The sequence below is a fragment of the Homo sapiens genome, chromosome 19 (genome assembly GCF_000001405.40).
Source record: "Homo sapiens chromosome 19, GRCh38.p14 Primary Assembly".
Lineage (NCBI taxonomy): Eukaryota > Metazoa > Chordata > Mammalia > Primates > Hominidae > Homo > Homo sapiens.
Genome location: NC_000019.10, coordinates 51,557,626 through 51,570,815, shown reverse-complemented (window position 1 = coordinate 51,570,815; position 13,190 = coordinate 51,557,626). Strand labels below are relative to the sequence as shown.

The window sequence follows — 13,190 nt, the reverse complement described above, 5'->3', positions numbered from 1 at the left end:
AGAAATTGTATCTTTGTTATCCTTACACCATTGCTCTCTATACCTGGATGAACCTATTGATGAAGTAACCTACCAAGCGACCACCTGAAGAGAGAATTTAGGGCTCTTGGGACACTTCATTTAAAGAGAGGCGAATGAAAAAAATATAATCAAGTTAAAGGAAAAAAACACAATTACTGAGATCAATGTCAGCCAGCCCAACTGGGCAGAATTTTCAGGAAGAGGTTGTTCAATCAAATAAACAAAAATATATTCTAGAAGGTGAGTAATAGCAATCATAAAATTAAAAAAATGGCTGATTATGGGAAATAGGAGGCAGGGCTGAGTGAGGATCTGAAGGTGAAGATCTGAAATGATCCTTCTTTTTTAAAAAATAGTAATTTAAATATATTGCTTTCGTAGTTTGTGCCATTTTGTAGTTACCGATTTTACATTCTGTGTTCACAGCTTCTGCCACCCCATCTCTGCACTTAAAGCCACCATATTACTTTTAATTACTTCATACCTCATTTTTAGTCCATTTGAATAATAAAATAAGACTGCTTAGCCAATGAAGCATTTTTTTGAACATGGTTTCCCAGGAATAGTTGAGTTTTCACATTAGTATCTGAACCTAACTTTGTTACATGAAGCATGAAACCTGCTTTTATTTTAAAACATCAATTATATATTTACTGTAAGCAAATAGTGTAAAATCAATAAAAACACTTATCTTTATTATGTGAGAAAGTGTGACATTTTGTTTGAGTTACTAAGAAATTCCCCGGACTTAGAACTTTTGAATTTTCTCCACTTATAAATCTGAGACTATTCTTTACTGTGTCATAGGATTTACCCTACGGCTTTGGTACATTTTATTTAAAAAAAGGAAAATGCAGAGAGTGAAAATTGAGATAGAAGTAGGAGGCTTTAAGTACAACAGCCCCGCATGTGTATGTTCAGGGCAAGTTAAGGCGTCCCTCCACTGGGACATCTGTATATCTGTAGGATGAGGGGTAACTGCGCCCTCATACTCTTAGTGGGGCAGGCATACCCTAAGGTGACACCTACTGAGTCACACCTTGTACAAATCCATCCCTTTGAGTGCAAACGGAACCTGAGATTTGCTTCTTACCAACAGAATATGGCAAAAGTTATGGGACTTATCTCTATTATTAGATTATGATATTAAAATCTATGGGAACTTGAACATCATCTGCAAATACTGGAAATATTTCTCAGTTTCTAATTTTTACATTTCTTGCTTATTTTTCTGGTTTTACCTTGTTGGCTATAACCTCTTTAATAATGTCAAGTAACAGTGGTGACAGTGGGCATCCTTGTCTTGTTTCTGATTCAAATGAGAATGCTCCTGAATTTTCCTTATTTAGGGTGAGAGTTGGTGTTTTAATAGTTATCTTTTATCATATGCATGGTAATTCTAGTTGCTCCACTGCCTTATCAATACTTAGTATTGTTAGTCTTTTTAATTTAATATGTTTTAGTGAGTATCTCATAGTGGTATCTCATAGTAATTTTAATTTGCATTTCCCAGATCAAGCATTTTTTCAAGTGCCGAATGGCCACTCATTTATCCTCTTTGCTGAAGCAACTCTTCAAATCTTCCACCCATTTTTCATTGTGTTTTAAAATTATTGTGTTGTGAAAATTTTTTATATATTCTAAAAATAAGTCTTTTAGAGATATACATATCACAAACATTTTTCTTCCAGTCTGTGGTTGCTTTTTTATTTCATCTATTCTAATCTTTAGAAGTTTAAAAATTTGATTATGACATTCTAGAAGAGTTTTTTAAGATTGGAGTTGGCTATTCCTCAAGAAGACAGACAAAACTTTCTGACTATGAATCTTCATATATCTTGTGTAGATGAAAGTCAAAAAAGAAAAATAAAAAGAAAGAGAATTCTGGCTCTTGAAACTTAAATAAAGAGCTTCAAAATTAAAAGCCTTCAAAAAATAAAGACAAAAAGTCTTGTGCAGATGAAAGTCAAAAAAGAAAAAGAAAAACAATTCTGGTTCTTGAAACTTAAATAAAAGTGCTTCAAAATTAAAGTGCTTCAAAAAATAAAGACAACTGTTTGCAACTTATGAGGACTTCAGAATTTCAAATGCTTTGCTTTAAACTATGCCAAGAACTCTCATCCTGGCCAACTTCAAACCAGTCTACTGCCTTCATGACTCAACGCCTTATTAAATAATGATCTCAACAAGATGCCTGCCCTCAAAATATCTGATAGCAATTGTGCCTGTTTTTTTTTTCCTGGAAATCAAAGAAAGTAAACAACCAAGAGCATTAAAAGAAACTTTACCCAAAAAATATAGTATTGAACAGACCATTCTATATACAGAAATGAAACTGTTTATCACCTTCATTTATAGCTAAGGATAAATGCTCGCCCACTGACTAAAATGACCCTTTTCTTTCATATATCTCATTTTAAGCAAACCTATTCTAAGACCTCTGGTAAAAAGAGACTTCATCACTCTGAGATATAGGATTCAAAAGCAAAATACAAATTAACAGTTGTGATTCGCATCACAAGAAATTGTATGCTAAGGAAGTGTGCTGAAGTTTTCCCAAAGTTCAATTACTGATCTGTTCAAATGGATCCAATATTAAGATTCTAAGAACATCATTCTGATTCATTCATATTCTGATATTGCACCTTCCACAGAAGTAAAGGAAGAGGAGCCCTTGGAAATTGCATGTGGCCTGAAGACAAACTTTGGCCAAGCCTATGAAAATGAGATTCTTAGTCTGCTTAGGGTTTATGTGGGAAAATGGCTGAGGGCTTTGGCTGGAGGAATGAAGGTCACTGACAGGTTTTAATCAGGAGTGTGATCTCCTTTATTCTTGTGTCTAGAATGACTATCCAAACTGCCAATTAACAAAACTGGAAAAATTAATAATTCCTGAAACGAGAGAGGCAATGGTTACTCTCATTCAAGATTGGGGAAATGGACACTGTTTCAGCCGTTTTCTCAAACTCCTGGCCTCAAGCAATCCTTCCATCTTGGCCTCCCAAAGTGCTAGGATTACAGGTGTGAGCCACTGTGCATGGCCTGTTACAGCCATTTTTGAAAGCAGTTTGTAAATACTCATCTTTGTCTTGCAAACATATTACTTTCTCTTGAAAAGGTGATCCAGTTTCTGCTAAAAATATCTTCTACGGAAATAATCAGAAATTATATTTTTACACGAGTCACATTTGTAGCTTGAAGTCAGTCATGATAGAAGTGTTTACACTGCAGAAATTGGCAAATACTATCCATCAAGTCTTGATTTATCATTTTATTGATTGTCTACGCTTGATATAGTGATGAATAAAATATTAATAATGCAACTTAAAAGATGTTAATATCTGCAGTCATTACACTGTAAATAGCACAAAAATTCAGAAATATTCTTCTAGTGTAGATATTCCAAAACTTATCTGATTAAACAAAGAGTTTACTCCTGTCATTGACAGAAGAATAAAATCCCACCATACATCTCATTATTTCTGTTTTATCTTACTCCTTAATGTAAATGAAAATATCAACCAACATTCATAACTACACAGTGTACTGTTCATCAATTGCCATTATAAGTTAGCTCAAGTTGCAAAAGTTCAGAAAAATCAGTGAAAACATTCTGTGAGAATCAGTTGATTATGTAGAATTTACAATAAAAAGTATAGTACATTTTATTATTATTTAAAAGTTACGTGCTGCAGGGAGATGAAGGCCCGTGGGACGTGACCAACTCAGCATTCCACTGGAGGCTATATGATCAAACAGCAAACTGTTTATCATGAATGCAGGATGTGGGCAAACTCACAATTACTCCCACTGCCAGAAGGTTTGCTGAGGGCCATTGCTTCCTGGCGCCGAGCTCCTTGAAGTTATCTACTGGGACATCTAGAGAATGCAGTCTTGCAAGCCTACTCTGGACCAAGCAGCTGACCTCTTCTTCCACCCCACTTCTCGCTATCTCTTTTGCCTAATAAATACAGAGGGCTGTGTAAAGTTCAGGGCCCTTGTCCACTAGAGGCAAGGTGCCCCCTGACCCCTTCTTCCAAACATGCTCTTTTGTCTCTTGTCTTTTATTCCTACGTTCACCTCCCTTTGTTCAGTTACCCTAGGTCCATGAGAGTTACATAGTGGCACCCCGAACAGCGACAAATTGAGTGCTCAACAGTGTGCTACAAATACTTTATATCAGTAAAATTTATTATGAATATGTATTTTTTGGAAATCCAGTTGTTAAATATTTCTCAGCACACTTCTGCCCCAATTTCATGTCTCTCTTGAATAAAGAATAGTCTTCATGGGTGGAGGAAGGAGTGGGGAGGAGAAAGGCTATTCTACTGGGATCTTTCTCACTCACCCCCACACCAGGTATTATCCACCAGCATAGGCTGAGGGGTGCTCCTGGGAACATCAGCTCCATGGGACTCCTAGTCTGCCCCTATGCCGGTTGAGTGTGGAATGCCAAGTTGCATATGTTCACAGCGAAGAGTTAATTTGCACATATGGGAATAGTACATGCCAATTATATTATGAATGGGGAATTAATATTTTCTATGGTTTTTAACTTCCTGAGCCCCAAATATCAGAAGTGCCAGTCAGACTCCTCAGGGGTTGAGGGAGGAATCTGCACTTTCACCCCTTAGGGCCAGCCCATTTACTGGATCCTGTTATAGCAGCTGGCAAACCCCTTCATCTACTCTCGTCCTGGAAACCATAGCTCCACTATCAGTAGCAGAATTGGTTCTCTGTCATCCCGTGTCTTCTTGTGTAGGAGGGTCTTGATGTGGTCATTTTTCTTTGTCCTTGATGCCATTTCTTAGGTCAATGTGATGCCACTTCTGGGGCAGGTCAAAGGTGCTCAATACCTGTCAAACGGATGGGTAGCTGACATCCAGACTCAGATAGGAGAGGCCAGATGAGGGTGTTAGGTTGAAACTCATTTAGGATCAAGCTAAACACACATTATGTGGCCCAGGACAATCGTGTGCTCATAACCACAAGTGGACTCTGGCTTCATGTAACCACAAGCCAGATAGTTTTCAGGAAGGCAGCCCATAGGCCAGATGTCTGCTGGGAGGAGGCAGGATGAGGAAGGGAGATGCTGCGGTCTTAGTGGATGTGGGGACAGATGAAGGACTGGGTAAAGCATGAAGGAGGGGCATCAGGACCTGCTGCAAGAGCCTGCGAAGAGAAAGAAATCCAAGGGGTAGGCAGAGCAGGGGTTCAGGGCAGGCGTTCAGGGCAGTGAGAGCAGTAAATGGCAATGCTTCCTGGGTTCTTTCTGGAAGAAAAAAAGCCCCACAGCAAAGTCAGAGCTCACACAGAAACCCAAGAAAGGTCTGTGAGGCAAGTCCAGGCTCCTTCCTGAACCCAAACAAGCATCAGAAAGCAACAAATATCCCACCTAAGTCAGGGGCTCCATTCATGGCCCCCAGGCTTCAACCCTAGCACCACGGGTTTCCCTGCTCAGAGAACTTCGAGAGCTCAGCCAGGGCTTCCCAAGGCTCCCGACGTGCCCAGATCTGAAGAGGAGCATGGAATAGGAGGATTCAGTCCCAGGTGGGACCCAGCTTCCAGCATCTCCTTCCCTGCATGGTGGGAAAATGACCCCAAATCCACAGCTCTCCTGAGGGAAGGTGAAGAATTGGCTTCAGGGGGCATAATCTGAAGTCTGAGTGGGGAAGCGAAAGGAACAAAGTTCCCTGCTAGGGTGTCCTTGGCCCTGCGGTGAATTGGGCTAAGCCTTCACTTCCCCAAAAGTGGTTTGGGTGTTTCTGTTGGAGGGAAGGGTTTGAGGCAAAAACTCAAAATAGATACCAGGTGTCTGCTGGGAAGGGCTCCTCAGATGGCCTGAAGGGGGCTCTAAACAGCCCTTGCAGTCTCAGAGATGCCATCTCTGCTGCTACTGCTGTCCCTGCTGTGGGGAGGTGAGGGGGCTGGGCAGAGGCGGGAGGGTTGGCGGGAGCTCAATGTCAAAGCCTAAATGCTGGAGGACCACGCGGGGTATGAGCTGCAGATTCCAGAGCTGGTGATGGTGCAGGAGGGCCTGTATGTCCTGGTGCCCTGCTCCTTCTCCTACCCCAGTGACAGATGGAGTCACTCAGACCCACCCTACGTCTTCTGGTTCCGGCAAGGGGACAATGAACACTGGGATCCTCCCATGGCCACAAACAAACCCAGCTAGAAGCTGCAAAAGAGAAGCTAGGACCATTTCCAATTTCCTTGGGGACCCCCAGACTGACATCTGTTCCCTGAGCATCAGAGACACCAGGAGGAAAGATGGCGGAGTGTATTTATTTCGGTTGGAGAGGGGTCCTGTCGTGAAATTCAGCTTCAAGCAAAAGACACTGTCTTTGAACGTGATAGGTAGGCGTGCTGTGTCCAGGAGCCTAGGGCTCAGATGGGGGAGCCATTCCTGGGGCTGGGACAGAGGCTGCTTCTGAGTTCACACCCTGGAAGTCCCCTCTCTGTGTCCCAGGTCTTTGCCTCTCTCCTTCCCAGCCCTCACCCAGACACCTGACATCCAAGTCCCAGCAACTCTGGAATCTGGCCATCCTGCGAACCTGCTACGTGTCAGCAGCCTGGAAAAGCAGAAAGTCACTCATCTTTTCCTGGACATGGGGAACTGTCATCTCCCTGGGCCCTAGGACCCCTCACTTCTCAGAGATCACCATCATCCCACTTCCCTGGAGCCACGGCTCCAGTATCACCTTCCAAGTGACTTTCCCAAGGTTTCATGTGACCACAGAGATGACCATCCAACTCAATGTCTCCTGTGAGTCTGAGTTATTTTGGGCAGTGACTGTGGGAAGAGAGTCAGGGTATGGGATACTTGGAGTGGGGTCCTGGATTCTGGGCAGGGGAAGGGACCAAAGGATGCTCCCCTAACCCTCAAAACTGAAGAGGGATGTGTCATCTTTTGAATTCAGATGCTCCACAGAACCTGACCATCAGTGTCTTCCATGGAAATAAAACAGGTAGGAGGCAAGCCCTCCTTTCCAAGGTTGTGATTAGGGTGGGAGGGCACCTTAGAGAGAATCTAAGAACACCTCAGAATAGAGTCTAAGTCTCAGAGCTTGCACGATAGGAGGGTTGAGATCAGGAATTCCAGCACAGGTGCCAGAAGACTTCCTAAATCTAAATCCTCTGTCCCCTATTTCAGCCCCAGGGAACACTCCCTAATCTCACCACCATGACAAAGACTTTCTTATTGTCAAATCTTTTTTTTTTTTTTTTTTTTTTTGAGATGGAGTCTCGCTCTGTCACCAGGCTGGAGTGCAGTGGTGCGATCTCAGCTCACTGCAACCTTCGCCTCCAGGGTTCAAGCAATCCTTCTGCCTAAGCCTCCCAAGTAGCTGGGACTACAGGTGCGCACCACCATGCCCAACTAATTTTTGTATTTTTTGTAGAGACGGGGTTTCACCATGTTGGCCAGGATGGTCTCAATCTCTTGACCCCATGATCTTCCCACCTCAACCTCCCAAAGTGCTGGGATTACAGGTGTGAGCCACCACGCCTGGCCTCTTATTGTCAAATCTTATAGACACTTTCCTGGACCTCACTTACCTAGACCTCTCTGGGGGATTTGTTTTGTTTTGTTTTGTCCGATGACTTTTTTTTTTTTTTTTTTTGAGACAGGGTCTCACTCTGTCTCCCAGGCTGGAGTGCAGTGGCACCATCTCGGCTCACTGCAGCCTCTGCTTCTCAAGCTTAAGCAATTCTCCTACCTCAGCCTCCTGAGTAGCTGGGACTACTGGTGCGAGCCACCAATGCTTGGCTAATTTTTGTATTTTTTTGTAGAGACAGGGAATCACCATGTTGCCCAGGCTGGTCTCAAACTCCTGAGCTCAAAGCGATCTGCTGGCCTCAGCCTCCCAAAGTGATGGGATTAGAAGTGTGAGTCACTGTGCCTGGCCTGGCAGCTTTCTGGAACTTCTCAGCTCTTTCCCCAACACTAACAGAACCAAATCTGAGAATCACATGTTGCCTTCCTGCCTCTTCATTCAGCCTCTCCTCTCTACTTTTCAACAATTTTAATTTAAGATTTTTTCCCAGGCGATTTATTCACATGATCTCATAAAGAAAAGATATAAGTGGGCATGTATAGAATGCACCTGTCTCACCTCTGCCCTCCAGATTCCTAGTTTGCTTCCTCTGAGGCCTCCATTGTAAACTGTTTTGGATACATTCATCCAGAGATGCCTTATGCATGTGTATCTTCATCTACAAGTAAATATAAAAATTTCATGTGAGCATGCTTTTTTACACACAAAACATCCTTGATACACTGTTCTGCACCCTATTTTTTTTTTTTTGAGATGGAGTCTCACTGTGACACCCAGGCTGGAGTCCAATGGCACTATCTCAGCTCACTGCAACCTCCACCTCCTGGGTTCAAGTGATTCTCCTGCCTCAGCCTCCCGAGCAGCTGGGATTACAGGCACCCGCAACTACACCTGGATAATTTCTGTATTTTTAGTAGAGATGGGGTTTCATCATATTGGCCAGGCTGGTCTTGAACTCCTGACCTCAGGTGTTACACCCGACTCGGCCTCCCAAAGTGCTAGGATTACAGGCATGAGCCACCGTGCCTGGCCTATTTTTTTTAAATTTAATAATTTTTGGAGATCTTTTTATGCCAGTAAATAAAGAACTTCATTCTTTTTCACAACTACAAAATATTCCATTGCATATATGTCATTTGCTACTTATAAACACTGCTACAATAAATAATACTTACATATATTTTGCAAGGAAGCTAATATGTCTGTATAAATTTGAATTATTTGATCAAAGGGCACATGCATTACCAATTCTGAGAGGTGTGGCCACATGGCTTTTCCCGTGGTTGTACCATTTTGCAATCCCCACGTCCTCCCCAGCCCATGCAATGTGTTAGTTTTTGCCTCACTCCAACCTCAACAACCAAATACGTTAGCAATGATTTTGATTTTTCCATGACTACTGATAAAAAATGTACCGCACCATAGCTTTAATTGCATTTCTCTAGCTGGGCATGAAGGTGAGGTTTAATTGACATTAACATTGTCCGTTCTGTTGTGTTCTGCCATGCTATGAACTGTCTGTTCATACAATTTCCTATTGTCATTAGCTTGTGCTTATTTTCTTCATGATTTGGATGTTATTTTTATATTAGGAAATGCAACCACTAATCCATAATATAATTGCAAATGTCTTTTCCAGTATTTTTGTCATTGGTCAGAAAAGTTTGTCAATTTCATCATTCTCTCCTGATTTCATTTAGCTTGGATGTGCCATGGAAGTTTTGTTTTATGTAGTTGAGTTTGTAAGTCTTTGCTTGTAAATCTTTGTTTATCATTCTGGCTCTCCCGCCTCTGAGATTATATATAATGTACATAGTATACATAATGTATGTGTATATATACACAAACACATATTTATATTTATGTTTATATTTAATTTACATTTATATTTATATATAATCTTGCCAAAGGTTCCTCTTTTCACCCTGTTCTCCACATGATTATGCACATTTCTATCCTCTTCCCTTACAGGATTAATTTCCATTCCCTGAAACTCCAAGGCCATTTCTAGTCATAGTTGTCTTTGCACTGCTCTTCCTTTCTCCCAGCATGGTCTTCTGCTCCAATATTGTCCACTGTCTGTTTCCACTTGTCCATCTCACTCTTCTTAAGCCCCTCCTCCTCCAGGGAGACCTCCCTGACTTTCTGTCTTATTGTGTTGCTCACCCTCCTTCACCTGAGTCACTCCATCACATCACCTGTCATATTGCAGAGTGAAGATCTAGTCCTGGGCCTCTTATAACCATTAGACTGTGACACCCTCAGGAGCTGATACCCTCTCAGTAGTACCTCATTTAAACAAGGATCAGTAAAGGGCTGCAGATTGAATAAATAAATGATTAGACTTTAGGGTAACTGGAGATGTTGGTAAAGATAGCAGGAAAGAGGGTGTGGGAACTAGGGGGTGGCCAGGAGATCTTGACTGGGATTCTCATCAAGGACAAAGTCCTTTCCTCTATTCCTGTACCTCACGGAGTCTGCATCTAAACTAACAGAATAACGGAGAAGGGGAAGAGACCAAACTGCATCATGAAGGGGAAGGGGGACCCCTCTGTACATCTGAACCCAAGGCCTGCATGTGCCTCTCTTGGTATCTCTCTTGCTGAGTTTCTCTTCTCCCCTCTATTCCCAGCACCTGTAGCCTTGGAGAATGCCACCTCCCTGTCAGTCCTGAAGAACCAATCCCTGCGTTTTGTTTATGTGACTGACAGCAACCCACCTGCCAGGCTGAGCTGGACCTGGGAAGGCCAAGCCCTGAATCTCTCCCAGTCGTCAGAATCAGCCGTCCTGGAGCTGCCCCCAGTGGAGTCTTGTGATGGAGGGGAATTTGTCTGCCAAGCTCAGCACCCTTTGGGCTCCCAGCATGTCTCCATTAGCCTCTCTGTGCAGAGTGAGTCATTGGTGGGAAGAATGGACAGGGCACCTGGATTCTAGGATGGGACTGTGAGTGGGATGAGGTCTAGGAGAAACACTTTATTCCTCTCCTCCCCTTCAGGTGACTCCGTTATCTCTATAGAAGAAGGCGTTTTACAGACCCTGGGTTTCACACTGATTAGGGGAATCCTCATGGGGACCAGCTGCACATTCATCTGTGGATTCACCTGGATCTGCTGCACTAGGTGAGCAGTGCCTTGCTCAGATGACCCAGTCTCTGAGCCCCCAAATTCCAAGGAAAAGTGGCCTGGTCTGTCTTCCTCAGGGTGAGCTCTCTGCAGCCCTAACTGCTAACCTCCTCTTACATTTTCTCACAGGATCAGAGGGTCCCAGAGAAGCATGGCTGGGAGAGTGGACTGAACTGATCTCTCTCCTCTGGACATGGTGAGAAGATGGACATTGAAGTCCAGAGGAACAGAGCCCCTGTATCTCTTACTAAAGCCCACCTCTCTGCATCTTGAATCACTTGCTGACTTGGTTCATCCAGAAATAATCTCTGTCCAGTTTCATATCCTATCTCCTGAACTGTACTGCTGGGCGAGATGGATGGATGGATGGATGGATGGATGGATGGATGGATGGATGGATGAATGAATGATTGGATGGATGGATGAGTGGCTGGCTGGATAGTTGATGGTTGGATGGACCGTCCATGACTGCTCTGCTCTCAGAACCTTTCCTTGCACCTCCTCTACATTGCTATGTACTCCAGATACTTCCTCTGCCAGACCACATTTATCAGGCATCTTTATTAGCCAGCTTCCAACTAGGTTCAGATAATGAGAGGCTAATGCTGGAGATTAAAATACAGGAAGAAAATGGAGAAGCAGCAGCATTTATTTTTTCCCTTCTCTCTGAATTGTGCAATCTCTTTGGTAGTGGCAGCACCCTCTCTGAGCCTCCAGCACTCAGACTCGGAGTGCTCAGCACTCAGCCTCTGGGTGCCCCTGATTACTGGGCTCTGGTGCACTGCCCTTTCCCTCTGTCCTCTAGCCTAGAAGTGGTGGTGGTTTCCTGCTGTTGTTCATTTCTAGGTTGCCTGATTGTCCTCTGTTTAATTTTTCATCCCTAACATCAACTGCGTAATCAATTTCTGCCATTAAATGTCCTCTGTTTTAAATATTTATGTGATTTCTTTTTTAGTAATTGGACTTTAACTGATACATATGGACACATGAATGGATGGATAAATGGAAACACGGACACACAGATGGATGGATGGATGGATGGATGGATGGATGGATGGATGGGTTAATAAATAGGTGGGTGGGGATTCTACTCAATGAATGTAACCCTCTTACCAGCCTTGGGATTTTACCCCAGACTTTTTCATTCCTGGTCCATTTCCTAAGCATCATCATTCTCTCTTAGTCTTAAACATGTTTACTTGTGCAATCAGGAATTTGTAGGTCAAACTTATTTCAGTGTTATTTTGTGGGATATTCCTGCTCCTTCCAATTCCAATCTAACTTTTGTACTTCCTATGAGCATTAAAAGCTTTTATTTTATCATGAAGAAGGAGTTCGTCTCAGATCCACACTTTTGTGTTCCCACCTTTCTATTTCCCCATAACCAGCCCAGTTGTTTACTTTATGGCCACCATTGCCCACAATCTTAGATATACTTCTGCCTATTTGATGACTGAAAAATCTCATCCTGAAAATTCTGTCCCTTTAGGCTGGCTGGGTGTAGTCCTGAGTAATTGTGTTTTCTCCATTAACTTGACTGCATTTTCTTTATTCACCTCCCTTTAAATAAAATATTGCAGGATTCCTAAATTATCTCACAGTTTGTCTCTTAATGGATAATTTCATCAATGGGTTCATCCAGGTATACAGAGAAACTGTGCAAGGATACCAAAGATAAAATTTTTTTAGAACACTATGGGAGAGGATGAATTATTTTAAAATATAATTTGGAAGAGAGATTTTCTTCTTGACAGTCACTTTTCAGTTTTGCCAATTCTATTTTATTTTTTAAAGATAATATACAATTCTATATGGAAAATTCCAAAATAATGTAAAAACAAATTATAACAGAAACTTTAGCAAACGAATGAATACAGATATATTTAATAATTGTATCATTATATACCAGTAACTGTTGATAGAAAATGTAATAAAAAGATACCACTTGAAGTATTAACAAAAATAAGGAACTATAAGAGATGTGTTACATCTAAATGTAGCACTTTATAAAACTGTGTTGGAAGATATCAAACACCTAAATAAATTGATCCATATGCTGTATTAATGAATAGAACGTCCCAGTTACATAAAGATGCCAATCATTTACGAATCAATAATTTCAATACCCTTTCATTCAAAATCCCATTTAGGGTAGAGAGGAATGGAACATGTGAAAGTGCAGACTAAGAATAAGACACTTTGAAGGAGAAGAGTAAAATGGTGAGGCTTGTCCTACTATATATCAAAGGTTATTATAAAGCAATATAAATAATAAAATACCAGTGGGTGTGAACAGCCAATGGAAGCCAAGAGGCTGATATAGTATAGAATTCTAACATGTGTGAGGGCAAGTAGAAGATCACTGGGGAAAAGGTGAACCTAGCCAGCACAACAGGTCTGTGGGAAAGGATAAATTACTTAATCAATGATGCTGGAACTTTGGTTTAAATTTTATTTTTTAAGTTTCTTTTCTCCCCCACCTCCTCTCTTT

General features: G+C 41.9%; 1 pseudogene; it reads left to right on the top strand.

Annotated features, from left to right (window-relative positions):
• Positions 5,900–6,378, top strand: SIGLEC29P (sialic acid binding Ig like lectin 29, pseudogene; annotated as a pseudogene).